The 26177-nt window shown below is 44.0% G+C and overlaps 1 protein-coding gene and 2 non-coding genes across 12 annotated transcripts in view, besides 11 other annotated features; 2 read left to right on the forward strand and 1 right to left on the reverse strand.

Moving 5' to 3' along the window:
- Positions 8822 to 9738: an enhancer, noted in NCBI's record as "NANOG-H3K27ac hESC enhancer chr1:204475600-204476516 (GRCh37/hg19 assembly coordinates)". NCBI's record gives its function as "activates a minimal SCP1, AML or CMV promoter by ChIP-STARR-seq in primed H9 embryonic stem cells {active_cell/tissue: H9 hESC(primed)}" and the evidence as "EXISTENCE:reporter gene assay evidence [ECO:0000049][PMID:30033119]".
- Positions 8877 to 8949, forward strand: TRK-TTT3-1 (tRNA-Lys (anticodon TTT) 3-1). Its single transcript has one exon. It is a non-coding gene; the product is annotated as a tRNA-Lys (tRNA).
- Positions 8910 to 8989: a silencer, noted in NCBI's record as "silent region_1727". NCBI's record gives its function as "represses an Ori minimal core promoter by ATAC-STARR-seq in GM12878 lymphoblastoid cells {active_cell/tissue: GM12878}" and the evidence as "EXISTENCE:reporter gene assay evidence [ECO:0000049][PMID:35858748]".
- Positions 9330 to 9379: a silencer, noted in NCBI's record as "silent region_1728". NCBI's record gives its function as "represses an Ori minimal core promoter by ATAC-STARR-seq in GM12878 lymphoblastoid cells {active_cell/tissue: GM12878}" and the evidence as "EXISTENCE:reporter gene assay evidence [ECO:0000049][PMID:35858748]".
- On the reverse strand, positions 9380 to 9452 carry TRK-TTT3-2 (tRNA-Lys (anticodon TTT) 3-2). Its single transcript has one exon. It is a non-coding gene; the product is annotated as a tRNA-Lys (tRNA).
- Positions 11531 to 11825: a silencer, noted in NCBI's record as "tiled region #2072; K562 Repressive non-DNase unmatched - State 7:EnhWF". NCBI's record gives its function as "represses a minimal TATA promoter and a strong SV40 promoter by Sharpr-MPRA in K562 cells {active_cell/tissue: K562}" and the evidence as "EXISTENCE:reporter gene assay evidence [ECO:0000049][PMID:27701403]".
- Positions 17238 to 18149: an enhancer, noted in NCBI's record as "H3K27ac-H3K4me1 hESC enhancer chr1:204484016-204484927 (GRCh37/hg19 assembly coordinates)". NCBI's record gives its function as "activates a minimal SCP1, AML or CMV promoter by ChIP-STARR-seq in primed H9 embryonic stem cells {active_cell/tissue: H9 hESC(primed)}" and the evidence as "EXISTENCE:reporter gene assay evidence [ECO:0000049][PMID:30033119]".
- Positions 17238 to 19209: a biological region, named in NCBI's record as "MED14-independent group 3 enhancer GRCh37_chr1:204484788-204485987".
- Positions 18010 to 19209: an enhancer, noted in NCBI's record as "MED14-independent group 3 enhancer chr1:204484788-204485987 (GRCh37/hg19 assembly coordinates)". NCBI's record gives its function as "activates an origin of replication core promoter dependent on BRD2, BRD4, P300/CBP and CDK7 cofactors, and independent of MED14, by STARR-seq in HCT116 cells {active_cell/tissue: HCT116}" and the evidence as "EXISTENCE:reporter gene assay evidence [ECO:0000049][PMID:35650434]".
- Positions 18150 to 19060: an enhancer, noted in NCBI's record as "NANOG-H3K27ac-H3K4me1 hESC enhancer chr1:204484928-204485838 (GRCh37/hg19 assembly coordinates)". NCBI's record gives its function as "activates a minimal SCP1, AML or CMV promoter by ChIP-STARR-seq in naive and primed H9 embryonic stem cells {active_cell/tissue: H9 hESC(naive and primed)}" and the evidence as "EXISTENCE:reporter gene assay evidence [ECO:0000049][PMID:30033119]".
- Positions 18499 to 18628: an enhancer, noted in NCBI's record as "active region_2370". NCBI's record gives its function as "activates an Ori minimal core promoter by ATAC-STARR-seq in GM12878 lymphoblastoid cells {active_cell/tissue: GM12878}" and the evidence as "EXISTENCE:reporter gene assay evidence [ECO:0000049][PMID:35858748]".
- Positions 18639 to 18718: an enhancer, noted in NCBI's record as "active region_2371". NCBI's record gives its function as "activates an Ori minimal core promoter by ATAC-STARR-seq in GM12878 lymphoblastoid cells {active_cell/tissue: GM12878}" and the evidence as "EXISTENCE:reporter gene assay evidence [ECO:0000049][PMID:35858748]".
- Positions 18749 to 19028: an enhancer, noted in NCBI's record as "active region_2372". NCBI's record gives its function as "activates an Ori minimal core promoter by ATAC-STARR-seq in GM12878 lymphoblastoid cells {active_cell/tissue: GM12878}" and the evidence as "EXISTENCE:reporter gene assay evidence [ECO:0000049][PMID:35858748]".
- Positions 18756 to 26177, forward strand: part of MDM4 (MDM4 regulator of p53) — a 41715-nt gene continuing 34293 nt past the window's right edge. For 7 of the 10 annotated variants that reach the window (NM_002393.5, NM_001204171.2, NM_001278516.2 and 4 more), the window contains exon 1: positions 18756 to 18859. The gene's annotated coding sequence lies outside the window, so the exon portion shown is untranslated. Of the gene's footprint in view, positions 18970 to 20822; positions 20846 to 26177 lie in introns of those variants that run through there. The other 3 variants (XM_024447114.2, XM_047420951.1, XM_024447115.2) reach the window with 2 other exon arrangements.

Genomic DNA, 26177 nt, shown 5'->3' on the forward strand with positions numbered 1-26177 from the left:
AAAATGTAGGAAATTAGGGAAGAGGAGGACTCTGGAATTACTCCCCATTTGAAGCCTTAGAAATTGTTGGCAGGTGGTACCATTCCCTAAGTTAGGGACAATTAGAAAGACAGGGCCCAGGTGTTGGCAGAGGGATCTTGAGCTTAATTTTGAACATGTTGGGTTTGAGGTATCTGTGGAATGTCTAGATGGGGATGTCTAGTAGACAGCAAACTTATGAAACTAAACTCATATTGGGGTGTGAACAAGTGATAGCAGCTTTGGATTCTGTAGGTTATGGGTAGTCAGTGAAGTTATAAGCCTGTATGAGGTCGTCCAGATGGGCATAAGGAGGAAAGAAGAAACAACCAGAGAGGTAAGAGAAAAACTGGAGGCCACAGAGTGTCAGAAACTAGGGTGGGAGAATCTCAGAAGAGAATGACTGGATAACCAGTGCAGCAGGAACCTCCAGGAGGGTAGGCTAGAAAATGCCTCCAGTGGATTCTAGGCCTAATTCATTCCCTGATTCAAAGCTGGTGCTCAATAAATTATTGGTCACTAAGTGAATGAATGAACCTGGATCTGGAATAAAAGACACATGCTTTTTCTAGAAGCTTGGCAATTTAAGACAAGGAGAAATATAAGGCAGTGGGTAGAGGGGAATGCAGGATCAAAGGGGAGACTTTTGTTTTTTCTTTTTAGGATAAGAAAGGCTTAAGCATTTTCATATGCTGAAGAGTAAGACCAAGGAGAGCGAGATCATGAATAGGAGGGAGTTGGGACCCAGGTATATGGGGTGGAGCTGCCTCTGATATCTTTGAGAGGAAGGCTGTACAAAAGCAGAGGCATCTGTAGACTGGTAAAGAGACTAGAACTTGAGACTAGATGTTGAGAGGACTAGTTGCTGCCTTGTAGTCTCTAAGCAATCTGCTGAGAGAGAAAGGCTCAAGATGAGGTTAAAGGCTTAAAGAAAGTGGTTAAGGTTGCTGGGCACGGTGGCTCACGCCTATAATCCCAGAACTTTGGGAGGCCGAGGTGGACGCATCACCTAAGGTCGGGAGTTCCAGACTAGCCTGACCAACATGGAGAAACCCCGTCTCTACTAAAGATACAAAAATAGCTGGGCGTGGTGGCGCATGCCTGTAATACCAGCTACTCGGGAAGCTAAGGCAGGAGAATCGCTTGAACCAGGGAGGCAGAGGTTGCGGTGAGCCGAGATCGCGCCATTGTACTCCAGGCTGGGCAACAAGAGTGAAACTCCATCTCAAAAAAAAAAAGTGGTTAAGGTTAAAATAGAAAGGAATAAGGAATGAGAGTGGTAGCTCCAGAGAGAGGAGAGAGAGAGAGAATTGTCAGCAGAGTTGAAGATACAGCTGGCATTGGATACTCTAATATGTTGTGGCTATGAATAAAAACATCCGAATGTTTTCATCATTTTCTTCTGCAGCACTTGGAAGCCCAGGTGTAGAACATGAGGTCAGGTTTCCAAGATAGGTACAGTAGAGGCATAAAAGGAAAAGAGGGCTCCTGACAAAAGAGGAAGTCCTCAAGGACGGAAGTGAAGCTCAGCAAAGGCTGTGAATCTTCAAGAAGCGGGAGGAAAGGGACTGAGCTACCTCTAATCTTATTCCCCTTCCAATCTTTTCTCAAGTAACCCAGCCAGGGTGATGTTTCCAAAGCAAACATCTGCTTCTCCTGCTTAAAATCAACTAACATGTAGGACATGGCATTTTTTGACTTTGGTTTTTAAACATCTGTATTCTCAGAGCCTAGAACAATGCCTGGCACTTGTGCTCACAAAATTTTTGGCAGATGAATTAATGCATGACTTTCTCTAACTCTTAAAGTCCAATCTCCTAAGGAAACTCTGAATTCTCTCACAGTCAGCCCTTGCTTTTCATTCTAGCCTCAGAGAACAAGGACTTTGTCTTGTGCATCCCTGCATCTCCCAAACTGCACCCACCACATAGTATTCAATAAATATGTATTGAATGAATAGCCTCCCACATTCCAATGTAAACTTCATACTTGGGCCTTACGAAACTCCCTACAGTTCCTAGAATGCACAATATTCTCACCTAACGGCCCTTCCACATGGTTTCCTGGAAAGGGCCTCCTACCTCCAATCCCCACCTCTACCCGCTTCCTTTTATGCAGCTGTCTCTCTACATGGTAGGCAGAATAATGGCCTCCCAAAGGAGGAAATGTCCACTTCCTAATCCCTGGAACCTATGGCTGCATTATTTTACAAGGCAAAAGGATTTTACGGATGTGATTAAGTTAAGGCCCTTGGGAGTGGAAGATTAGCCTGGATTATCCAGGTGGGCCCAATCTAATTACGTCAGTCCTTAAAAGCTGCAAACCTTTCCTAGCCGAAGTCAGGGAGAGATGTGATGACGCAAGACTGGTTGGAAAAATGCAACATTGCTGGCTTGAAAGTTGAAGCATGGAGGTCCTGAGCTGGAGGGGGTGAATGGCCTCTAGAAACTGGAAAGGTCAAAAAACAGATCCTGCCCTAGAGCCTCCAGGAAGGAACATGACCCTGCAGATACTTGATTTTAGCCCAGTGAACCCCATGTTGGGCTTTTGATCTGCAGAACTGTAGGATAATAAATTTGTGTTCCTTTAATCCACTAAATTTGTGGTCATTTGTTATAGCAGCAATAACAAACTAATACATCCTACAACAAATTCTCTGCAAAGTTTCCCTAGAGTGCCTCCTAAGAGTGTCTAGACACACCCAATAGCTACTTGGATTATAACACTGATCATGGGTGTTATATATAATTGCTTGTCCACTTTTTTCTGAATTGGGGAGGGGACAGAAGAGGAGGGCAACGGACTGTAAGCGCCTTAAAGACAAGGAATCTCCATTATTTTTACCTTTGAATTTCTAGGCCTAATTCATTGCCTCATTCAAAGCTGGTGCTCAATAAATTCTTGGTCAATAAGTGAATGGATGAAAACCTGGATCTAGTTTACAGGAAGACAGAGTGACTGAGCCAGAAAATGAAAAGCTTGAGAGTCTAAGATTTCAGTGGTGACCGGGTGTGATGGCTCATGCCTGTAACCCTGGCACTATGGGAGGCCTAGGCTGGTGGATTGCTTGAGCCCAGGGGTTCAAGACCAGCCTGGGCAATATGGCAAAACCTCATCTCTACAAAAAACACAAAAAATTAGCTGGGCATGGTGGTGTGTACCTGTACTACCAGCTACCCAGGAGGCTGAGGTGGGAGGATCACCTGAGTCCAGGAGGTCGAGGCTGCAGTGAGCCATGATGGTACAACTGCATGCCAACCTGGGCAACAGAGTTGAGGTCCTATCTTAAAAAAAAAAAAGATTTCAGTGGTAATAATAAGTAGATTACTGGTGAGGGAGCAAATGGCTGAAATCAATGGAAGGAGATGATGGTAGAATCTGTTTATCTGTGCTATATTCTCTCATAGGTCTGCTCTAGGCTAGGACTAATCTGTAATACAACTCAAAACTAATATTTTGAAAGACAGTATTTATAACAATTTTATTTTAAAATCCTTCAGTAGGCTTTCTTCAAAAATATTCAAATATCTTTGAAAGATGATTGGATGTTAGAGATGGGGTGGGGTGCTCTGTAAATATTTTATGTATAGATTGACTTCTTCAATCCTTTGACTCTTACTGGCTTTGAAATCAGTCCTACTTCTTCCCTACACCTTTTCAATGATCCATGACATTTGAGGGCTGCATTGTTTAGGGAGTATTTATTCCAGTATCTGAGCTCTTGATGCTATGTAAGATTCTTGGGCTCAGCCAGGCATGGTGGTTCATGCCTATAATTCCAACAGTTTGTGAGGCTGAAGCAGGAGGATCCCTTGAGCTAAGGGAGTATAAAAGTAGCCTGGGCAACATACCAAGACCCCATCTCTACGAAAACATTTTTAAAAAAAATTCACCAGGCATGGTGGTGCATGCCTGTAGTCCCAGCTACTCTGGAGGCAGAAGTGAGAGAATCACTTGAGCCAGGAGATTGAGGTCACAGTAAGCTATGATTGCAACACTGTCTCAAAACAAACAAACAAACAAAAACAACCTGTACTATACATCTTCTTAGTACCTTGTGATGGTGTCAGCTCCAAAGACTCTATGCACTATACTGTGGCGATAGAAGACTGGGCCCCAGAGTAGGTAGCTACGACTTGGTGTTGGTTTGGGGAACTCTGGGAAGGAAGGGTCCACAACTTTCCCCCTCTGTGCCTAGCTCACTGCTGTGGAAACAGTGGGTAATCAGATTGATGGTGATTTTTTTCCAAAGGCAGTAATTCTGATGAGAAGGAGGGTAAAAAACATCCCTTTAAAGATTATTATAGTAGGGATCAACAAAATGAAAAGGCAACATACAGAACGGGAGAAAATATTTGCAAACCATATATCTGATCAGGGATTAACATACAAAATATATAAGGAACTCATAAAACTCAATAGCAAAACAAAACAAAAACAAATAACCAGAATTTTGTTTGAATGTGCAAAGGACTTCAATCAACATTTTCCCAGAGAAGACATACAAATGACCCACAGGTATATGAAAAGGTGCTCGACATCATTAATCATCAGAGAAGTGTAAGGCAAAACCATAACGAGATATCACCTCACACCTGGTAGTGTGGCTACTCTCAAAAAGTCAAAAGATTACAAGTGATGTCGAGGGTGTGGAGAAAAGGGATCTTTGTACACTGTTGGTGGGAATGTAAACTGGTACAGCCATATGGAAAACAGTATGGAGTTTCCTTTAAAATATTAAAAATAGAACTACTGTAAGAACCAGCAATCCCACTTCTGGGAATATATCCAAAGGAAATGAAATCAGTATGTTAAAGAGAGATCTGTGCTTCCATGTTCATCGCAGCATTATTCACAATTGACAAGATGTGGAATCAGCAGAAGTATCTGTCTACAGGTGACTGGATAAAAAATATGGGGTCCGGGTGCGGTGGCTCATGCCTGTTATCCCAGCACTTTGGGAGGCCGAGGTGGGCAGATCACCTGAGGTCAGGAGTTCAAGACCAGTCTGGCCAAAATGATGATGAAACCCTGTCTCATTAAAAATACAAAAATTAGCTGGGCGTGGTGGCAGGCGCCTGTAGTCCCAGTTGCTTGGGAAGCTGAGGCAGGAAAATCACTTGAAACCAGGAGGCAGAGGATGAGGTTGCAGTGAGCTGAGACCATGCCACTGCACTCCAGCCTGGACAACAAGGGTGAAACTCCATCTAAAGAAAAAAAAAAAAGAAACAAAGAAAGAAAATGTGATACATAAGGAAATCCTGCCATTTGCGACAACATGGACAAATCTGGAGGACTTTATGCTAAGTGAAATAAGCTAGAAACAGAAAGACAAATACTATATTATTTCACTTATATGTGGAATCCAAAAAAGTTAAACTCATAGAAACAGCAGAATGATTACCATGGGGCTGGCAGGTGAGGGAAACAAATAGATCTTGATCAAACAGTACAAATTTTCAGTCGTAAGATGAATAAATTTCGGGGATCTAACATACAGTACAGTGACTATAGTTATTAATAATGTATGGTGTACTTGAAATTTGCTAAGAGTGTAATCTCAAGTGTTCTCACCACACCACACGCACACAGTTTAAAAATAGTGGGAGAAATTAAATTTAAGAACTAGGAGAATCACCAAATATATAGAATCTGTGAGTTTAGCCTGCCCTCTAGTGGGAAAATTAAGTTCAACAGTCTGCATAAAGAAGCTTCAAGAAGCACTCCAGGAAGATTTTATGCTAAAGTACAAGATGGCACTTGTGGTGTTTTTGATGCAACATAAATGAAGCAAACAGATTCATTTCATGCTATTTCGGGTGGACTTTGCAATGTTAACAAGCCGATCTTTCAATAGCTCACCATTGCCTGTAGGATAAAATCGTTTGCCTTAGCCTGATGGAAGTGTAGTCTCCAATGTGACCTTACTCCTCTGTATCTCCTTCTGCTCCAACAAGATTAAGTTATTCCCCATTCTCTAAATACACCTTGCAGTCCCCACATTCCTTCCAGATTTCCTGTTTTCCTCCCTACTGTGCCTAGCTCACTGCTGTGGAAGCAGTGGGTAATGAGTAAGCAAATTTTAGATTGATTAATCCCATTCAGTTTAATTTTAAACAGCAGGTTTTGTTATCCCGGAAGAAAGGGAGTGTGATGTAACAAAGCCTTGGGGAGGAAAAAACTTGAAGACCCCTTTATCTATTCTTGCCCTTTTAAGGAGGCCTGGATAGACACCATTTCCCTTCCCTAAAATTTAAGTGTTATAATTTATTTCCACATCTCATTCATAGAAACAGTTCTAGCAGTTTTTCCTTATCTAACACAGTGGGTGCTGAAAAAAATATGTCTAAATAAATAAATGTCTGTGTTTTGCTCATTACAATTTCTTCAGTACACCTCTAACATTGTTTAAACTGTTTTACTGTTTAACTTGTTTAAACTGTTTAAACTGAAATATGATCATGCAGTTTCCCTGCTGAAAACTCAAGGGCCCAGCCACCCTTATTTTATAAACCCTGCTTTCCTGTCCATCTTCATCTGCCGCCACTCCACTTTATGTTGAAATTGTTTGTTTCTGTGTGTGTCTTCTTTCCTAGACTGTTAGCAGGACCCATGTCCTACTCATCTCAGACTCTAGGGCTAGCGCATAGCCTAACCTGTAATAGACGATCAGTAAATGTTTGTTGAATTAAATCACTCCATTCTGGCAAATTTTGAGTCTGTTCCTTCTAATCTTATTCACAATGGAAAAAAGTAACAGAATGGTAAAACTTTAGAATTACAAGTTATCTCGAGGCCATCTAATCAATTTCCCTTGTTTTATAAATGTGGAAACCCAGGCCTGCTCAGGATCACACAGTTTGTTGGTCTTTGTTCTGTAAGAATCAGACAATTGTAGGAAAGAAAAATTCCTCCAACTGAGGCTGAGCTATTTTGTTGTTCATTGTGTTCAGAAGCCACTAGTTCCCAGAAACTAAAATAAATTCCCTTATCAGTATTTGAAATTTCATAATCTTGTGTTCCACACCCCATGTGTCAGGGTTGATGAAATTTGATTTTAGGTGGCTGGGCGCAGTGGCTCATGCCTGTAATCTCAGCACTTTTGGAGGCCGAGGCGGGTGGATCACCTGAGGTACGGAGTTCGAAACCAGCCTGGCCAACATGGTGAAACCCCATTTCTACTAAAAATACAAAAATTTAGCCAGGCGTGGTGGCTTGTGCCTATAATCCCAGCTACTCGGGAGGCTGAGGCAGGAGAAACGCTTGAACCGAAGAAGTGGAGATTGCAGTGAGCCGAGGTCACTCCATTGTACTCCAGCTTGGACAACAAGAGCGAGACTCCGTCTCAAAGAAAAAAAAAAGAAAAGAAAAGAAACTGATTTTAGGAAAAACTAGGCTGATCTGGAGATTTGTATTCTTAATACCCTATGTTGCTCCCACTGGTGCACACTGCTTTGGGAGGATTCATCTTATGAGATTGTCTTGAAAACTGCAACTTGAGGCCGGTGCGGTGGTTCACACCTGTAATCCCAGCACTTTGGGAGGCAGAGGCAGGCGGATCACCTGAGGTCAGGAGTTCAAGACCAGCCTGGCCAACATGGTGAAACCCCATCTCTACTAAAAAAATTCAAAAATATTAGCCGGGTGTGGTGGCAGGCGCCTGTAATCCCAGCTACTCGGGAGACTGAGGCAGGAGAATTGCTTGAACTTGGGAGGCAAAGGTTGCAGTGAGCCGAGATCCTGCCACTCCATTCCAGCCTGGGCGACTGAGTAAGACTCCGACTCAAAAAAAAAAAAAAAAAAAAAGAAAAGAAAAGAAAACGGCAACTTGCCTGAAAGGGGAGGAAAGGCAAAATTCAATCTAAATTAAAGGTCTAAACTCCTTTTCCCGCAATCTTAATTCAGACCTTTCCACAATCACGTCTATTTTCTTATAGTATTAGCTCCTCTGTGCATGAATCAAAAGTGTCTTTCCTTCTTTTGTGCTAAGTAATACTTATCTAACAACTACATCATCTGATGAATGGAAATGTATTTTTCATTAATGGGAGAGATGTTGTAATCTAGTTTGGTAGAATAATTAAAATTAAGAGATCTTATCAGGGAAGTGCTAAATAGAAGGCAGAAGTATAATAAAAAGAGGTTGCTCCTTGGCACAGCTGCAAAGATTGAAAGAAAAAAAAAGAAGAAAGGAAGGAAGGAAAGAAGGAAGGAAGGAAAGAGAGGTTGTAACCCCATGTCTAAATTTTGAATATTCATCTTGGTTGCCCATTTTTCTGTCATTTACTACCATTAATTTCCTTTTAGAGAGTTTAGTAAATACTGGTAACTTATCAAACATGAAACAGCTGAAGAACACATGTTCTTCATGGAACATGTGTGAATGGAACAAAAAGAAAAGGAAAGGAAAATATTTGTTTTGCTTTATCTTGCTAAAACAAAAAACAAAAAAAACCCTTTAATTCTAATTAAAACCTAAATGTAGCTACTTAAAAGGAAGCAGGCCGGGCGCGGTGGCTCACGCCTATAATCCCAGTACTTTGGAAGGCCAAGGTGGGCGGATCATGAGGTCAAGAAATCGAGACCGTCCTGGCCAACATGATGAAACTCCGTCTTTTCCAAAAATACAAAAATTAGCTGGGAGTGGTAGCGCGCGCCTGTAGTCTCAGCTACTCGGGAGGCTGAGGCAGGAGAATCACTTGAACCCGGGAGGCGGTGGTTGCAGTGAGCCGAGATCGCGCTACTGCACTCCAGCCTGGCGACAGAGTAAGACACCATCTCAAAACTGAAAAAAAAAAAAAAAGAAAAAAAGGTAGCAACCTATATGGAGTGAACAGAAAGAGCTTTTCTTCGGGAGCGCCCGGATAGCTCAGTCGGTAGAGCATCAGACTTTTAATCTGAGGGTCCAGGGTTCAAGTCCCTGTTCGGGCGTTTGTAGTTTTCGTTACTTTAACCTGCTAAATTATCCCATCAAGTCCCAAGAGCGGACATCGTAAACCCTTACATTTCAAGTTGAATTCAAATCATTTTTCACTGGGTTCAGAATATGCTAGATAGACGTGTTTTCAGGGAGGAAAAAAAATGACTGAAAAGTCATTTAATTTCTTGGAGAGTATCGAGGTCTGGCACAGTGGTTTCCCAGAAAAATATTTGTTTTTTGATGGCTCATAATTGAGAAAGGAAGAAAAAAACTTAAAAGCAAGCACCTTGTGCTCTCACCACAAAAAAAGGTATGCGAGGTAATGCATAACCTTATCAGTTTGATTTAATCATTCAACAATATATACGTATTTCAGAACATGGTGTTATACACCATAATGTGTACAATTTGTATTTGTTCATTGAGGAAAAGAGAACAAGACGCCCGAACAGGGACTTGAACCCTGGACCCTCAGATTAAAAGTCTGATGCTCTACCGACTGAGCTATCCGGGCTCCCGTAGACAACAGCTTGTTCTGCCGTTTCTTACATAAGAATGAGGACCCTTGAGTGATTGCATCATCCACACTGTGAGACTGCTTTAACGCCAAGAAAGTTCGTGATTCGTGCGTAAAAGGAAAAACAGAAGGCCCAAATTCTGCGCCTTTCACCAGCATCACCAGCTAATTTAGAATTGCGAGATATTTATGCGCCTAGTAAGCATGATTAGGTAGGCTTTTTTTATTTGTAGTTAAATAGGTTCAGGATTAAAAGAATGGCGAGGTGTCACTTTTGAAGTGCTGTAATAACCTTCGATCTATTTTACCATTGATAACAGAATGGGCATCAGTGCTAAAACCTATCCAATAATAGAAAAAAATGAATCTGTCTAAGAGACTATGAATATGCTGTTCTGAAGCTATCGGGTTGCACTGTGCGGTATAAAGTGAGAGAAAGGAAGGATGGTGAGGTTATCCAATAGGTCGCCTGAAAGCATCCAAGTTGTTTTTTTGTTTTTGTTTTTGTTTTTTTTGAGACGGAGCCTCCCTCTGTCGCCCAGGCTGGCGTGCAATGGCACGATCTCTCGGCTCACTGCAACCTCCACCTCCCGGGTTCAAGCAATTCTCCTGCCTCAGCCTTCCGAGTAGCTGGGATTACAGGCGCCTGCCACCATGCCCAGCTAATTTTTGTATTTTTGGTAGAGACTGGGTTTCATCGTGTTGGCCAATCTGGTCTCGAATTCCTGACCTCCGGTGATTGGCCCGGCGCATCCAAGTAATTTTAAGGGGCGCAAACTCTGGAAGAGTTCACCAGCAGCGACCTTGGGGGTAGAAGCCCTACTAAGCTAGAGAGACAGGAAAACTGAACATGGCATTGAAGAGAGATTGTTTTGATCTTGGCATTGGAGGTTCTTCCCTTCCGTAGCCATCAGTAATTTGAGCACTGCCCTTTGCTATGGAGCTGGTGTTGAGAATGACCACGGTAGAGCTTTGAGAGTGGGACAGTAAAGGTCTTTGTTAGCTGATGTTACTTCACCTTAATTCCATCCTTAACCTCTTTCGGGGTGATTGCTCTGGTCCAGCAATTCCACTTTTAGGAATTTGTCCTGAAGAAATAATCAGAGGTGACGGGGCGCGGTGGCTCACGCCTGTAATGCCAGCACTTTGGGAGGCCCAGGAGGGCGGATCACGAGGTCAGGAGTTCGAGACCAACCTGATCGACATGGTGAAACCCCGTCTCTACTAAAAAATACAAAAAAGTTAGCCGGGCGTGGTGGCACACTCCTGTAATCCCATCTACTCAGGAGGCTGAGTCAGGAGAATCGCTTGAAGCTGGGAGGCGGAGGTTGCAGTGAGCCGAGATAACACCACTGCACTCCAGCCTGGGCGACAGGGAGAGACTCTGTCTCAAAAAAAAAAAAAAAAAAAAAAAAGAAGAATCAGGGGTGTACAAAAAGATCTGACTACAGGAGAGATCGTCACGGCATTTTAATCAGAAACGAGAAAAATAGCTACATAAATTATGGTACGGCCTTAATTATTATGCAGCTATTAATAATCATGTTTCGGAAGAATAGGATTTGGGAAAAAAATAGAAAACATTTTTAAGTTAGGAAACATTTCAAATCAATAGGGTTTTGTTTGTTTTGTATTTTCAAGAAAAGGGTGCATATATGTGCACTGAAAAACAAAGGATAAAAAAAGACAACAAACAAAGGATAAATGCTTATACAAAACCTGGGTTCTGAAGTTAGGTGCTCTATTTGAATCCTGACTACCATTGTGTAACCTTGAGCAAGCTATTTCTCTGTGTGTCAGGACAATAGGATGACTGTGAGATTTAAATAATATAGTATATAGACATTGTTTGCAATAGTGTCTGACATGTAATAAGCATTCATGGAGGCACATAAAGATTTAATGGCAAAGATGTAACAAGAACAGATCCTATGGATCCTGCTCTTTCAACCTTCTGTGACACCATTCACCTTTCAACAAAGAATTAACATATTTGATTGAAGTGGAACGAGATGTATAAAGCTGATTTTTAAGGCTGGGCACGGTATCCTAGCACTTTGGGAGGCCGAGATGGGAGGACTGCTTGAGGCCAGGAGTTCGAGAGCAGCCTAGACAACATAGCGAGACCTGCCCCCTCCTGCCGCCACCCTCCCCCCACATAATCAATCAATAAACTGGGCGTGGTGGCACCTGGCTGTGATTCCTGCTACTGGAGAGGCTGAGGTGGGAGGATCGCTCTTGCCCAGGAGTTCAAGATCAGCTTGGGCAATGTGGTGAAACTCCCTCTCTACAAAAAAATACAAAAATTAAAAACTAGCCGGGTGTGGTGGCGTGAGCCTATAGTTCCAGCTACTTAGGAGGCTGAGGTGGGAGAATCGCTTGGGCCCAGGAGGTGGAGACTGCAGTGAGCCAGGACGGAGTCACTGTGCTCCAGTCAGGGCACTGTATGTTGGATCTGCATGTTACAACATGCCCTAAGTGTGAAAAGCAAATCTTTCTAGCTGGCCCTAAGTGTGAAAAGCAAATCTTTCTAGCTGGCCCTTTGGACCCTTGAAAAAAGAAAAACAAATCTTTGGAACTTTTAGAAGAAAATATATGAGAGTATCTTTATGACCCAGAGATGGGGAAGAATCTCTTACATAATAAATTTTTAAAAAGCACAAAACATAAGAAAATTAACAAATTTTATTTCATTAAAAATTGTTAATCAAAGACAATGTTTAAAAAGTGAAAAGCTACATACGTGAAGTCATTATTTATAACATATATAACCAAGAAGGATTAATATCCAGATTATATGGAAAACTCCTACAAATCAATAAGTAAAAGACAAGCCTACCGTGGTGGCTCACGCCTATTATCCCAGCACTTTGGGAGGCCAAGGTGGGTGGATCACCTGAGGTCAGGAGATCAAGACCAACCTGGCTAACACAGTGAAACCCTGTCTCTACTAAAAATACAAAAAATTAGCCAGGCATGGTGGCGGGCACCTGTAGTACCAGCTACTTGGGAGGCTGAGGCAGAAGAATTGCTTGAACCCAGGAGGCAGAGGTTGCAGTGAGCCGAGATTGTGCCACTCCACTCTAGCCTGGGCGACAGAGCAAGACTCTGTCTCAAAAAAAAAAAAAAAGTAAAAGACAATCCCATAGAAAAATGGGCAAAAGGTCTGATTAGGCAATTCATATATAGGAACCTTAAGTCAGCGGGGTGTGGTGGCTCATGCCTGTAATTCTAGCACTTTGGGAAGCCAAGGCAGGCAGATCACAAGGTCAGGAGATTGAGACCATCCTGGCTAACACGGTGAAACCCCATCTCTACTAAAAATACAAAAAATTAGCCAGGCACCGTGGCGGGTGCCTGTAGTCCCAGCTGCTCAGGAGGCTGAGGCAGGAGAATGGCGTGAATTCAGGAGGCAGAGTTTGCAGTGAGCCGAGATCCCGCCACTGCACTCCAGCCTGGGTGACAGAGCGAGACTCTGTCTCAAAAAAAAAAAAAAAAAGGAACCTTAAGTCGATAAATATGAAAAAGTGCTCAACCTTACTAATAATCATGGACCTATAAAACAAACCACCATGAGAAACCATTTTGCATCTATCAGATTGTTTTTTATAATTTGAAAATGCCAAGTACTGGCAAACATATGCAAAGATAATTCTTTTTTTTGACAGAGTCTCACTCTGTCACCAGGCTGGAGTGCAGTGGCGGGATCTCAGCTCACTGCAACCTCCGCCTCCCGGGTTCAAGCGATTCTCTTGCCTCAGCCTCCCGAGTAGCTGGGACTACAGGCACTCACCACCATGCCCAGCTAATTTTTGTATTTTTAGTAGAGACAGGGTTTCACCGTGTTGGCCAGGCTGGTCTCAAACTCCTGACCTCAGGTGATCCGCCCGCCTCGGCCTCCCAAAGTGCTGGGATTACAGGCGTGAACCACTGCACCTGGCCAAGGTAATTCTTATACACATCTGTCAGGAGTGAGTATTTTTCTGTGATCACTTTGGAGAGCACTTTGGCATGGTCTAATAGGGTGGACAACATATATAGTCTGTGACTCAATCATTTCCTCTAGAGTACACACGGAGATAAGCATGAGAATGATAACAGCATTGTTTGCAACGGCAAACGATTGAATAATGCCTAAGTATTTATTAAAGGAGGAGATGAATAAAAATTGTGGTGCATCCGTTACTATTATGGGCTGAATGTGTCCCTCTCAAACATCATGTTGAACACCATCCCCAGTACTTCAGAATGGGAATGTATTTGGAGACAGGGCCTTTAAAGAGGTGATTAAGGTAAAATGAGGTCACATGGATGGGCCCAATATGATTAGTGTCCTCATAAGAAGAGGGGATTAGGATATAGACAACATACAGACAATGGGCAACCACACAAGGACACAGTGAAAAGACAGGCTGCACTCCAGCCTGGCAACAGAGGGGAACTCCACCTCAAAAACAAAACAAAACAAAACAAAGCAAAACAACCACAAACAAAAAATTAGCTGGGCATCCTGGTGGGTGCCACCTGTAGGATTACAAGATTATACCTATAATCCTAACACTTTGGGAGGCCAAGTGGGGAGGATCACTTGAGGCCAGGAGTTCAAGACCAGATTGGGCAACATAGTAAGACCCTGTGTCTATTTTTTTAAAAAAATTAGAAGATGAGCAATTACTCACAAATCAGTGTCAACCATGATAGGAAAAACTCTATTCTTCACCATGGCCTAGTCAACATATTTATCAAGCCAAGGAAAGAGGGCATCAGGAGAAACCTAACTTGCTAACAACTTGATCTTCAACTTCCAGCTTCCAGAACTATGAGAAAATAAATTTCTGTTTAAGCCATTCAGTGGTACTTTGTTATGGCAACTCTAGAAAACTAATACAATTACTATACAACAATTCATTATACATTTATACAATTCAGTATGTTACTGTAGAACAACGTTAAAACATTAAAAATGAATTAACCAGGGCCAGGTGCGGTGGCTCACACCTGTCATGCCAGCACTTTGGGAGGCTGAGGCGGGTGGATCACGAGGTCAAGAGTTTGAGACCAGCCTGGCCAACATGGTGAAACCCTGTCTCTACTAAGAATACAAAATATAGCTTGGCGTGGTGGCGCGTGCCTGTAATCCCATCTACTCCGGAGGCTGAGGCAGGAGAACTGCTTGAACCCTGGAGGTGGAGATTGCAGTGAGCCAAGATTGCGCCACTGCACTCCAGCCTGGGTGACGGAGCAAGACTCTGTCTCGAACAACAACAAAATTAAATTAACCATAACTACACGGTTTAACAGCACTGAACTTCACAATGCTGAGCAAAAATGTAAGTTGCAGTAGACCACATATAGTTTGATGCCATTTATAAAAATTTTAAAAGCATAAACAGATTTTTAAGGAATATATACACATATAAACTCTAAAAGTCTAAAGAAATGCATGGCAGGGGTACATACCAAATTCAAGATAGTGGTTCCCAGAGGATGAAGAAAGGAGATACCATAGAGGTGACTACAGGGAACTTCTTTGTATGTGTATTGTTCTTAGGAAGAGGAATGGGAAAAGGGACATCATATTCTTTTTTTTTTTTTTTTTGAGACAGAGTCTCACTATGTTTTCCAGGGTGGAGTGCAATGGCGCCATCTCAGCTCACTGCAACCTCCGCCTCCAGGGTTGGAGCGATTCTCCTGCCTCAGCCTCCCGAGTAGCTGGGATTACAGGCATGCACCACCACACCCGGCTAATTGTTTTGTATTTTTAGTAGAGATGGGGTTTTGCCATGTTGGGCAGGCTGGTCTTGAACTCCCGACCCCAGGTGATCCGTCCGCCTCAGCATCCCAAAGTGCTGGGATTACAGGCCTGAGCCACTGCGCCCAGCTGGGAGATCATATTCTTTATACCTTTTGATATGTATAAAGTCATTAATTATATTTTTTTTTCAGAAAGGCTATAGACCAATAATACTGACTTTTAATTTTTTTAAAACTAGAAGGGCCATAAGAAATGGCTGAATTCAGCCATTTTGTTTTACAGATTAGGGAACTGAAGACCGGAAACCTGTGTAACTTCTTCTGTTTTCTACAAATAGCTAGACTAGAACCCAGATTTCCTGTCTTTTTATTCGAATCAATGGTTTGTGAGCATAGTTCTTAAAGAAGGAAGTGGTGATCACTCAGTTGAGTTTTTAAGCCAATTTCCAATTTCATTTCTTTCTTTCATTTCTTCTTTTTTTTTTTTTTGAGATGGAGTCTTCCTCTGTCGCCCACGCTGGAGCGTAGTGGCACGCGCCTGTAATCCCAGCAATTTGGGAGGGTGAGGCAGGAGAATCGTTTGAATCTGGGAGGCGGAGAATGCAGCGAGCTGAGATCGTGCCACTGCACTCCAGCCTGGCAACAGAAGGGAACTCCGTCTCAAAAACAAAACAAAACAAAACAAAACAAAATAACCACACACATAGAATTAGCTGGGCGTGCTGGCGGGTGCCACCTGTAGGATTATAAGATTACACCTGTAATCCTAACACTTTGGGAGGCCAAGGTGTGGGGGAGGATCACTTGAGGCCAGGAGTTCAAGACCAGACTGGGCGACATAGTAAGACCCTGTGTCTATTTTTTTAAAAAAATTAGAAGATGAGCAATTACTCACAAATCAGTGTCAACCACGATGGGAAAAACTCTATTCTTCACCATGGCCTCGTCAACATATTTATCAACGTTTTGTTTTTTTTGATTGACTGAGATAGAGTCTGGCTCCATCACCCAGGCTAGAGTGCAGTGGAGCAATCTCGACTCACTGCAATCTCCTCCTCCGGGTTCAAGCAATTCTCCTCCCTCAGCCTCCCGAGTAGCTGGGATTATAGGCGCCTACCACTGCACCCGGCTAATCTTTTTTGTATCTTTAGACAGTGTTTTACCATGTTGGCCAGGCTAGTCTCGAACTTCTGACCTCACGTGATCCACCTGCCTCGACCTCCCAAAGTGCTGGGATTACAGGCATAAGCCACTGCGCCGGGCCCTCGAGATTTTAAATGAAGACGAATTAAAGATGTTGGTCAATATTTTGCCCAAATTGAAAAGGCTTATCTCTCTTAACCTAGAGGAGGTTAACTGCAGCTCATCAATCATTGCACTTACCACATTCTTTTTACCTGGACAGTCTGATTCCTCCACTAGACAGATTTCAGGTCTTGTTTTGGAATCCTCTAGATTGGTGCTTGGCACAAGTAGGATGCTCAGCTAATTAATTTTTTTTTTTTTTTTTTTTTTTTTTTTTTTGTAGAGATGGTGTTCTCGCTTTCTTGCCCAGGCTGGTCTTGAACTCCTGGGCTTAAACGATCCTCCCACCTTGGCCTCCCAAAGGGTTGGGATTACAGGTGTGAGCCACTGCACCTGGCCTCAACAAATACCTGTTGATCTCACACAAACTGAATTGCATGAACAGATCATATTCCAAGGCTCCAGGAGACATTAGGAAAGGATCCAAACTAACCAGATGCTATTTAAAAGTTACAAAAAAAAAATTCCTGTTGAAAGTTTTAAAAAATACTAATTGCACAAAAGGACAGGGGAAATAGTTGACAGTGGTTCACCTAAAAAAGCACCCTTGACCTTTTTTTTTTTTTTTTTGTGAGTGAGGTGGTTGCAGATTTCTATGAAAAAGAAGTTAATTCTTCAGCTCCTTAATGGAACCCTGGATCTCCCAGCTATGCAGGAGGTTATGCTAGAAGTAGAACAAAGCGGAATGTACAAATTTAAGGAAGGTTACTGCCCTGTGTTCTTTTGCATGGGTCTGTATCTAGCATTGGGAGCCAGGTTTTGTTGTTGCTTATTGGGAGAGATAAGAATGGTATATACACAAATAACTAAAAAAAAAATACGTGGTAAATGCTAAAAGACAGGTGCAAAGAACACTGAGATGGAGCTTTCTTGGGTTACACAGCCAGTTTTAATGTTTCCTAATATAGAAGAGCTTTCAACAAACCTCTCAGGCAGGCTGTCTTCAAATGACATTACTTCCCCCAAATACCTAATTTCATTTATTTCAGAACAACTCTAAATGTTAGAGGATTTTCTGAGCTTAAAAATACTGCCTTGTAATTTCTATTGGTTTTAGTTCTGCACTTTGGAGAAGAGAATAAGGCTCCGTTATTTCCAATATTATACTATTCAGTTATTTGAAGACAGCTTCCAATTTCTATGCTCAACCCTTTCCCTCTTTTTTTTTTTTTTTTTTTTTGAGATGCAGTTTCGCTCTTGTCGCCCAGGCTGGAGTGCAATGGCGCTATCTCGGCTCACTGCAACCTCCGCCACCCGGGTTCAAACGATTCTCCTGCCTCGGCCTCCTAAGTAGCTGGGATTACAGGTGACCGCCACCATGCCCCGCTAATTTTTTGTATTTTTAGTAGAAACGGGGGTTTCGCCATGTTGGGCAGGATGGTCTCGAACTGCTGACCTCAGGTGATCCGCCCGCCTCGGCCTCCCAAAGTGCGCTGGGATTACAGGGGAGAGCCACTGCGCCCGGCCTCCCTCGTTTATATGCAGGTTAAAAACTCCCTTGAGCCTTCAACTATTTCTTTTTCTTTTTTTTTTTTTTTTTTGAGGAGTTTCGCTCTTGTTGCCCAGGCTGGAATGGCGCTATCTCGGCTCACTGCAACCTCCGCCTCCCAAGTTCAAACGATTCTCCTGAGTAGCTGGGATTACAGGCATGCGCCACCACACCCGACTAATTTTGTATTTTTAGTAGAAACAGGGTTTCACCATATTGGTCAGACTGGTCTCGAACTCCTGACCTCAGGTGATCCGCCTGCCTTAGGCCTCCCAAAGTGCTGGGATTACAGGCGTGAGCCACAGCGGCTGGTGCTTTCAACTATTTATTTGACATGGCTTCAAGCTTCCTTGCCACCCTAGTGCCGCCATCGCTCCGTTTCCCTTCCCTACCACCCTTGGGGAGTAAGGGTGAGGACTGGGGAATGGCAGAGGAAGCGTAGTTTTTCCGAAGAGCTGAAGGCAGCCTGTGATTATGACCTTAGCTCTTCCTCTTCTCTGTTTTCTGATCTCCTAATACACGTCTGTAAATATCACAAGACCCTGCAAGTCCCTCACTTATTATCTCTTCAAATCTGACGACTTTCAACCGTTCGGGCCCCACGACTCTCTCCCCGGACTAGGATCTACTCTATGGTAGTGAGCTCAGCCTTTCTAGCTCTCTAGTCCTCCCATTGCTCCATCTATGGTTTCCGGAGGCCTCACCGGAAGCCCTCGTGTGAGGCCGTGTGGGAGGCCGGAAGTTGCGGCTTCATTACTCGCCATTTCAAAATGCTGCCGAGGCCCTAGGATCTGTGACTGCCACCCCTCCCCCCACCCGGGCTCGGCGGGGGAGCGACTCATGGAGCTGCCGTAAGGTGTGGCTCTTGGCCTTCGTCGGCGGGGTGCCGGGAGCGGGAGCTGGAGAGTGAGGAGCAGGCGGCCGTACCGCCAGTTGTGCGGGTAGCGGGCGGGAGGAGCTTGAGAGGTGGGTCGGGCGGCGTGGGGAAGGCCGCGCCAGGCGGAAGAAGGGCTCGGGGGGAGGGGAAGAGTTGTGGGATGAGGGCTCGCGGAAGATAAAAGTGGAGGTGGGGTGACGTGAAGTAACTTTGGCCAACAGGTGACAAACCTAAAGTCGACGTAGTTGGATTGAGTTTAACTGGACACAACATTTGAGGACTGTTGAGGCAATTTGGAGAAAGGAGGTGGGAGAGAGGGAACCGGGTAGAATGACATTGACGTGTCTTAAGTTTTTAAGTTAGTTTTTAGGTCTGCGGACAGTCTACCTTAGAGGCACTTGAGTGCTTGTTTGAAAATGCTTGTTTTGGCTTGGCGCGGTGGCTCACGCCTGTAATCCCAGCACTTCAGGAGGCCGAGGTGGGTGGATCTACCTGAGGACAGGAGTTCGAGACCAACCTGGCCAACCTGGTGAAACCCCGTCTCTAGTAAAAATACAAAAATATTAGATGTGTGTGGTGGCGCATGCCTGTAATCCTAGCTACTCGGGAGGCTGAGGCAGGAGAATCACTTGAATCCGTGGGCGGGGGTTGCAGTGAGTCGAGATCGCGCCACTGCACTCCAGCTTGGGCTACAGAGGGAGATTCCGTCTCAAAAAAAAAAAAAGAAAAAATGTTCGTTTTGGGGCCACACTGAAACCTACAGACAGTATCGAGATGGGGCTCAGAGAAATATATTTTAATGAGCACACCTCCCAGTGATTTTTGTATACCTTAAAGCTTGAAAACCACAGGTTTTTTTGGTTGTGTTTTTGTTTTGTTTTTGTTTTTTTTGAGTGGAGTTTCGCTCTTTTTGCCCAGGCTGGCGTGCAGTGGCGCGATCTTGGCTCACTGCAACTTCTGCCTCACGGGTTCAAGTGATTCTTCTGCCTCAGCCTCCCGGGTCGCTGGGATTACAGGTGTGCGCCACCACGCCTGGCTAATTTTGTGTTTTATTAGAGATGAGGTTTCACCAGGTTGGCCAGGCTGTTCTCGAACTCCAGACCTCAGGTGATCCGCCCACCTCGGCCTCCGAAAGTGTTGGGATTACAGGCGTGAGCCACCGTGCCCGGCCGAAAACCACAGTTTAAAAGCAACACCCGGAGAAAATGCTGCAGCTCTGTGCTGTTGGCACGTGGAACTAGTATCTGTCAAAGATACTTGGAACCTCTTGGTGTTAAGTATTACTGTATCTCAGTTTAGATTTAGTCTTCTCTCTCCTCATACATTTTTTTTTTAATAGATGGGATTTCGGCCAGGCCCAGTGGCTCACACCTTTAATCCCAGCACTTTGGGAGGCCAAGGGGGCAGGTTTGCTTGAGTCTCGGAGTTCGACACCAGCCTAGGCAACAAACTGAGCCCCATCTCTGCAAAAAATAAAAAAATCAGTGTCATAGAGCGAGCTTCCAGTCCCAGCTACCCAAGAGACTGAGGTGGGAGGATTGCTTGATCCCAGGAGGTAAAGGCTGCAGCAAGCCGGGATGGAGCTACTGCACTCTAGCTTAGGCGACAGCGCGAGAGCCTGTCTCAAAAAAAGAGATGAGGTCTCACTGTGTGCTCAGGCTGCAGTGCAGTGGCTATTCACAGGTGTGATCATTGCACACTACAGCCTGAAACTCCTGGACTCTAGGGATCCTCCTGCCTCAGCCCTCCGGAATAGCTGGGACTACAGGCACAGGCCACCGGCTGCAGTTGGTTTTTTAAGATTCTATAACAATCGTTAATCTTTAATTAAAGATTTAATCTTCCCAGTTTAATCTTCCCACTTTAATCTTCCCTGCCGTCCCAGGTCCTGTAGAACACCTACGTTCTGGATTTGACTTATTAACTGCTTGCTCTCCATTTTCCCTAGTAACTTGCAGTTAGTAGGTAGGTCTAGATTTGGATTATTTATCTTTTGGTCAGGAATACTTAATAGGTGTTGTGCTAGTTTCTTGTTGCTTCATAATCAAGTAGTATATGGTGTGTGAATGACCCTCTTTTAGTGATAAGGTTGGGGATGGTGGAATGGTCAGCCTACTCCACGTGTTTTCTTTCCACCCCAACCTTTCACTCAGATGGCTTTAGCATCCCCTACCCCTGCCACTGGAGTGAAGTGGTATGATCTTGGCTCACTGCAACCTCTGCCTTCTGGGTTCAAGCTATTCTTCTGCCGCAGCCACGCAAGTAGCTGGATTACAGGCGTTGTGCCACCACGCCCAGCTAATTTTTGTATTTTCAGTAGAGAGAGGTTTTCATTATGTTGGCCAGGCTGGTCTTGAACTCCTGGCCTCAATCTGCCTGCCTTGGCCTCCCAAAGTGCTGGGATTACAGGTGTGAGCCACTGCTTCTGGCCTGGAATCTCGTGATGACTGTTGAAGAGGTGACATTTAACCTGAGACTTGAAGGTTTAGGATGAATCAGTTTTGTACAAAACTCACAGTGCTCCAAATGAAGGGACGATTTGTGCAAAGGCCCTGTTTGAGAAACTAAAAGATCAGGGTGGCTGAGGCTCAAGATACGACTAAACAGTGCAAGATAAGAGTGAAAATGTGCTGAGGGGATAGACCACGTGTTTATCTTTACAGCAATAGCAAGCTGTTGAGCAGGGCCTGACACTATAGGATTTTTTTACTTTTTAAAATGCTTTTGGCAGGCTGGGCCAAGGTGGGCGGATCACCTGGTTGGGAGTTCGAGACCAGCCTGACCAACAAAAAGAAACCGCGTCTCTACTAAAAATATAAAGTTAAAGTTAGCTGGGCGTGATGGTGCATGCCTGTAATCCTAGCTACTCGGGAGGCTGAGGCAGGAGAATCGTTTGAACCCAGGAGGTGGAGGTTGCGGTGGACCAGGATCGCTCCATTGCACTCCAACCTGGGCAACAAGAGCGAAACTCCGTCTCAAAAAATATATGTATATGAAAAAGAAAAATACAGTGGTTGGATTAAAGAACATTGGCCTGGCATGGTGGCTCATGCCTGTAATCCCAGCACTTTGGGAGGCTGAAAAGGATTGCTTTAGCTCAGAATTTGAGACTAGCCTGGGGAACATTAAAAAAACTAGCTGGATTAGGTGGTACACGCCTGTAGTCCCAGCTACTCCAGAGGCTAAGGTGGGAGGCTTGCTTGAGCTGGGGAGGTTGAGGTTGCAGTAAGCCATGATCACGGCACTGCAGTCCAGCCTGGGCGACAGAGTGAGACCTTGTCTCAAAACATCTATATCTATTCTGTAATTTATTCCATCTGTAATGTTATGGAATCACAGATGGAATAAATAACAGAACGGATACAACTGAGGAATGAATTAGAATTCTAGAAGGAGAAAATCTAGAACAAAGAAAGAGAAAAATATAAACGAAAAACTAAGAGATAAGAAAGAACTACCATTTTAGGCTGGGCGCGGTGGCTTATGCCTGTAATCCCAGCACTTTGGGAGGCCGAGGCGGGCGGATCACGAGGTCAGGAGATCGAGACCATCCTGGCTAACATGGTGAAACCCCGTCTCTACTAAAAATACAAAAAATTAGCCAGGCGAGGTGGTGGACGCCTGTAGTCCCAGCTACGCGGGAGGCTGAGGCAGAAGAATGGCATGAACCCCGGGGGGTGGAGCCTGCAGTGAGGGGAGATCTCGCCACTGCACTCCAGCCTGTGCGACAGAGCGAGACTCCATCTCAAAAAAAAAAAAAAAAAAATGAATTTTGATATGACAGTAGGAATTAATCTATGTTAGTGGAACAAAATTTCCCAAATTACATGCAACATCCCTGCTTTTTTTTTTTTTTAATAATTAAGAGCAACTAAACTAAAAATACTTTTTAGGAATCCATTTTGATGCAGTAAAATGTATAAAAAGGAAAGCAAGGGAAATGAAAACAATAGGGTTCAGGATGATTATTATTGCAGGAAGGCAGCAAAATGGGATGGGGGATATTATCGTTAAATATAGGTTATGATCAGAGTCTTAGTTTGTGGAAGATTATTGCGTTAAAAATAATCCAGGCCAGGTGTGGTGGCTCATGCCTGTAATCCCAACACTTTCGTTGAGAGAATCACTTGAGGCCAAGAGTTTGAGACTAGCCTGGGCAACATAGCAAAATCCTGTCTCTACAAAAAATAAAAAAATTAGCCAGGAATGGTGGCGCATGCCTGTAGTCCCAGATAATCAGGAGACTGAGGTGGGAGGATTACTTGAGCCCAGGAGGTCGAGGTGGCAGTGAGCTATGTTTGTGCCACTGTACTCCAGCCTGGGTGACAGAACAATACCCTGTCTCAAAAAAATTATGAAAATAAAAAGGTAAAAATAAGTAAAATGGGCCATGTGTGGATGAATAATCAGCATATGTCTTGAATAAAAGAGTTATGATTAATTCTGTGTACTTGAGGTCTAATGGGAAAAAATGCTGCTAAACGGGGATGTTAGTGCTTGTCTGAGTTTGAAATCTTGACTCCAACAACTTACTCATTGGGTGATCTTGGACAAATAACTTCTGTTTCTCTTTCCTGATCTGTAAAATAAGGATAATAGCTACATAATAGGGCTGTTTTGGTATTAAATGGGTTTATATGTATGCCTGGTACATAATAGGCTTGATGAGTCCTTACCATTTGTTTCAATTATCTAATGCTATGGAATAAACCACCCCAAAACTTAGTGAGTTGAAACAGTCATTTTATTTATTTTTCATTCAGTGGGATGATAGGCTGAGTTGGATAGTTCTTGTGGTTTTGTGGTTTGTCATGCAGCTGTTAAGTCAGGTGCAGCTGAGGCTGGAACGTGTGTGATGCTTTGTTTTGTTTTCTTTCTTTTTTTTAAGGACACCTCGAGACCGTTGAGTAAGTGCTTTGTTGTAGTCAGGTGGCAACTGGGGCTGGAAGATGTGTGGTGCTTTGGAGGGTATGGCTAAGAGTCTGGGCTCAGCTGGGCAACTGCACCTCCCTCTCCTTGTAGCCTTTTTGTGTAGTCTCCAGTAGAGTAGCCAGATTTCAAGCACCTCCAAAAGTACAAAACATGAGCCTGCCAGGCCTGGAATTGTCACATTATCACCTGCTGCATTCTATTTATTAAGTCATAGGGCCAGTTAGGGAGCGTGGTTCATTGGGAGCCATTTTTGGAAACGGTCTGCACATTATAATTAATGTTTCTATCTACCATGTTGCTCTACCATGTATGTAGTTGTCAGATTTAGACACTGGAAATGTATAAATAGACAGTTACAAATTCCTGTCCACTTGTAGCTTATATTTTACATAATAAATAATTAAAATATGTAGTGTTTTGGTTGGTAAAAAGGTTGGTAGGGAAAAATAAAGCAGGGAAGGAGATAGGGAATACAAGCGGTTGGGAGTTTTAGTTTTAAAAATGGGTGTTCATATGAGGCCTTGTTGACAAACTGTCATTTGAGCATAGACAAAAAGAAGGATAAGAATTAGAGGGCAGGCTAGGAGTGGTGGCCCATGCCTGTAATCCCAGGGATTACAGCACTTTGGGAGGCTGAAGCAGGAGGATCACTTGAGCCCAGGAGTTTGAGACCAGCCTGGGCAACATAGCAAGACCCCGTCTCTACAAAAAATAAATTAGCTGGGCATGGTGGCATGCACCTGTAGTCCCAACTACTTGGGAGGCTGAGGTGGGAGGACTGCTTGAGCCCAGGAGGTTGAAAGGCTGCAGTGAGCTGTGATTGTGCCACTGCACTCCAGCCTGAGTGACAGAGTGAGACTCCATCACACACACACAAAAAAAGCAAATGAGGAAGTAGGTGATGAGATCAATAGCCACCCATTAAAAGCCAGGTTTTAAATTTTTTTTTTTTTTTTGAAACAATCTTGCTCTGTCACCAGGCTGTAGTGCAGTGGCACGATCTCGGCTCACTGCAACCTCCGCTTCCCAAGTTCAGGCGATTCTCCTGTCTCAGCCTCCCGAGTAGTTGGGACTACAGGCGTGTGCCACCACACCTGGCTAATTTTTGTATTTTTAGTAGAGACGGTTTCACCATTTTGGCCAGGATAGTCTTGATCTCTTGACCTCATGATCTGCCTGCCTCATCTGGGGAGTACAATCCCAAAGTGCTGAGATTATAGGCGTGAGCCACCATGCCTGGCCCACTTCTGAATTTTAAATTGTGCTTGTTTCCTATTTGACTTATTTTATAGCAAAGTAAGGTAATGGGAGAGGGAGGAATTTATACTTGATTACAGCTATAAGCCTTTTCAGAAGCATGAGGGATCTTGTTATCTTCAGCCAGTGTATTTACTGATTGTCTTTTTTTTTTTTTTTTGAGATGGAGTTTCACTCTTGTAACCCAGGTTGGAGTGCAATGGTGCGATCTCAGCTCACTGCAACCTCCGCCTCCCAGGTTCAAGTGATTCTCCTGCCTCAGCCTCCTGAGTAGCTGGGATTACATGCATGTGCCACCACGCTCGCCTAATTTTTGGAGCTTTAGTAGAGACGGGGTTTCACCATGTTGGCCAGGCTGGTGTTGAACTCCTGACCTCAGGTGATCCACCTTCCTCAGCCTCCCAAAGTGCTGGGATTACAGGCATGGGCCAGCGTGCCCGGCTGATAGTCTTAAAAAAATTTTTTTTTGTCCAGACGTGGTGGCTCATGCCTGTAATCCCAGCACTTTGGGAGGCTGAGGCAGGCGGATCACGAGGTCAGGAGATCAAGACCATCCTGGCTAACATGGTGAAACCCCGTCTCTACTAAATACACAAAATTAGCTGGGCGTGGTGGTGGGCGCCTGTAGTCCCAGCTACTCGGGAGGCTGAGGCAGGAGAATGGTGTGAACCCAGGAGGCGGAGCTTGCAGTGAGCCGAGATCATGCCACTGCACTCCAGCCTGGGCGACAGAGCGAGACTCCACCTAAAAAAAATTTTTTTTTTTTTTTTTTTTTTTTTTTTGCGACAGGGTATCGCTTTGTCACCCAGGCTGGAGTGCAGTGGCACAGTCTTGGCTCACTGCAACCTCCACCTTGCCAGTTCAGGTGATTCTCATGCCTCAGCTTCCTTAGTAGTTGGGACTGCAGGCTCGTGCCATGCCCAGCTAGTTGTTGTATTTTTAGTAGAGACAGGGTTTTGCCCTGTTGCCTAGTCTGGCCTCTGTTAGAAATAAATTTTCGAAGCTGCAAATGAATATCACTCAAACATAAATTTAATTTTCTCAGCAAGGCAATTTTACTTCTATGGAAGGGTGCATCTCACGGATGGAGCAATGGTGAGAGCACACC

This window comes from Homo sapiens, chromosome 1 (genome assembly GCF_000001405.40).
Source record: "Homo sapiens chromosome 1, GRCh38.p14 Primary Assembly".
Lineage (NCBI taxonomy): Eukaryota > Metazoa > Chordata > Mammalia > Primates > Hominidae > Homo > Homo sapiens.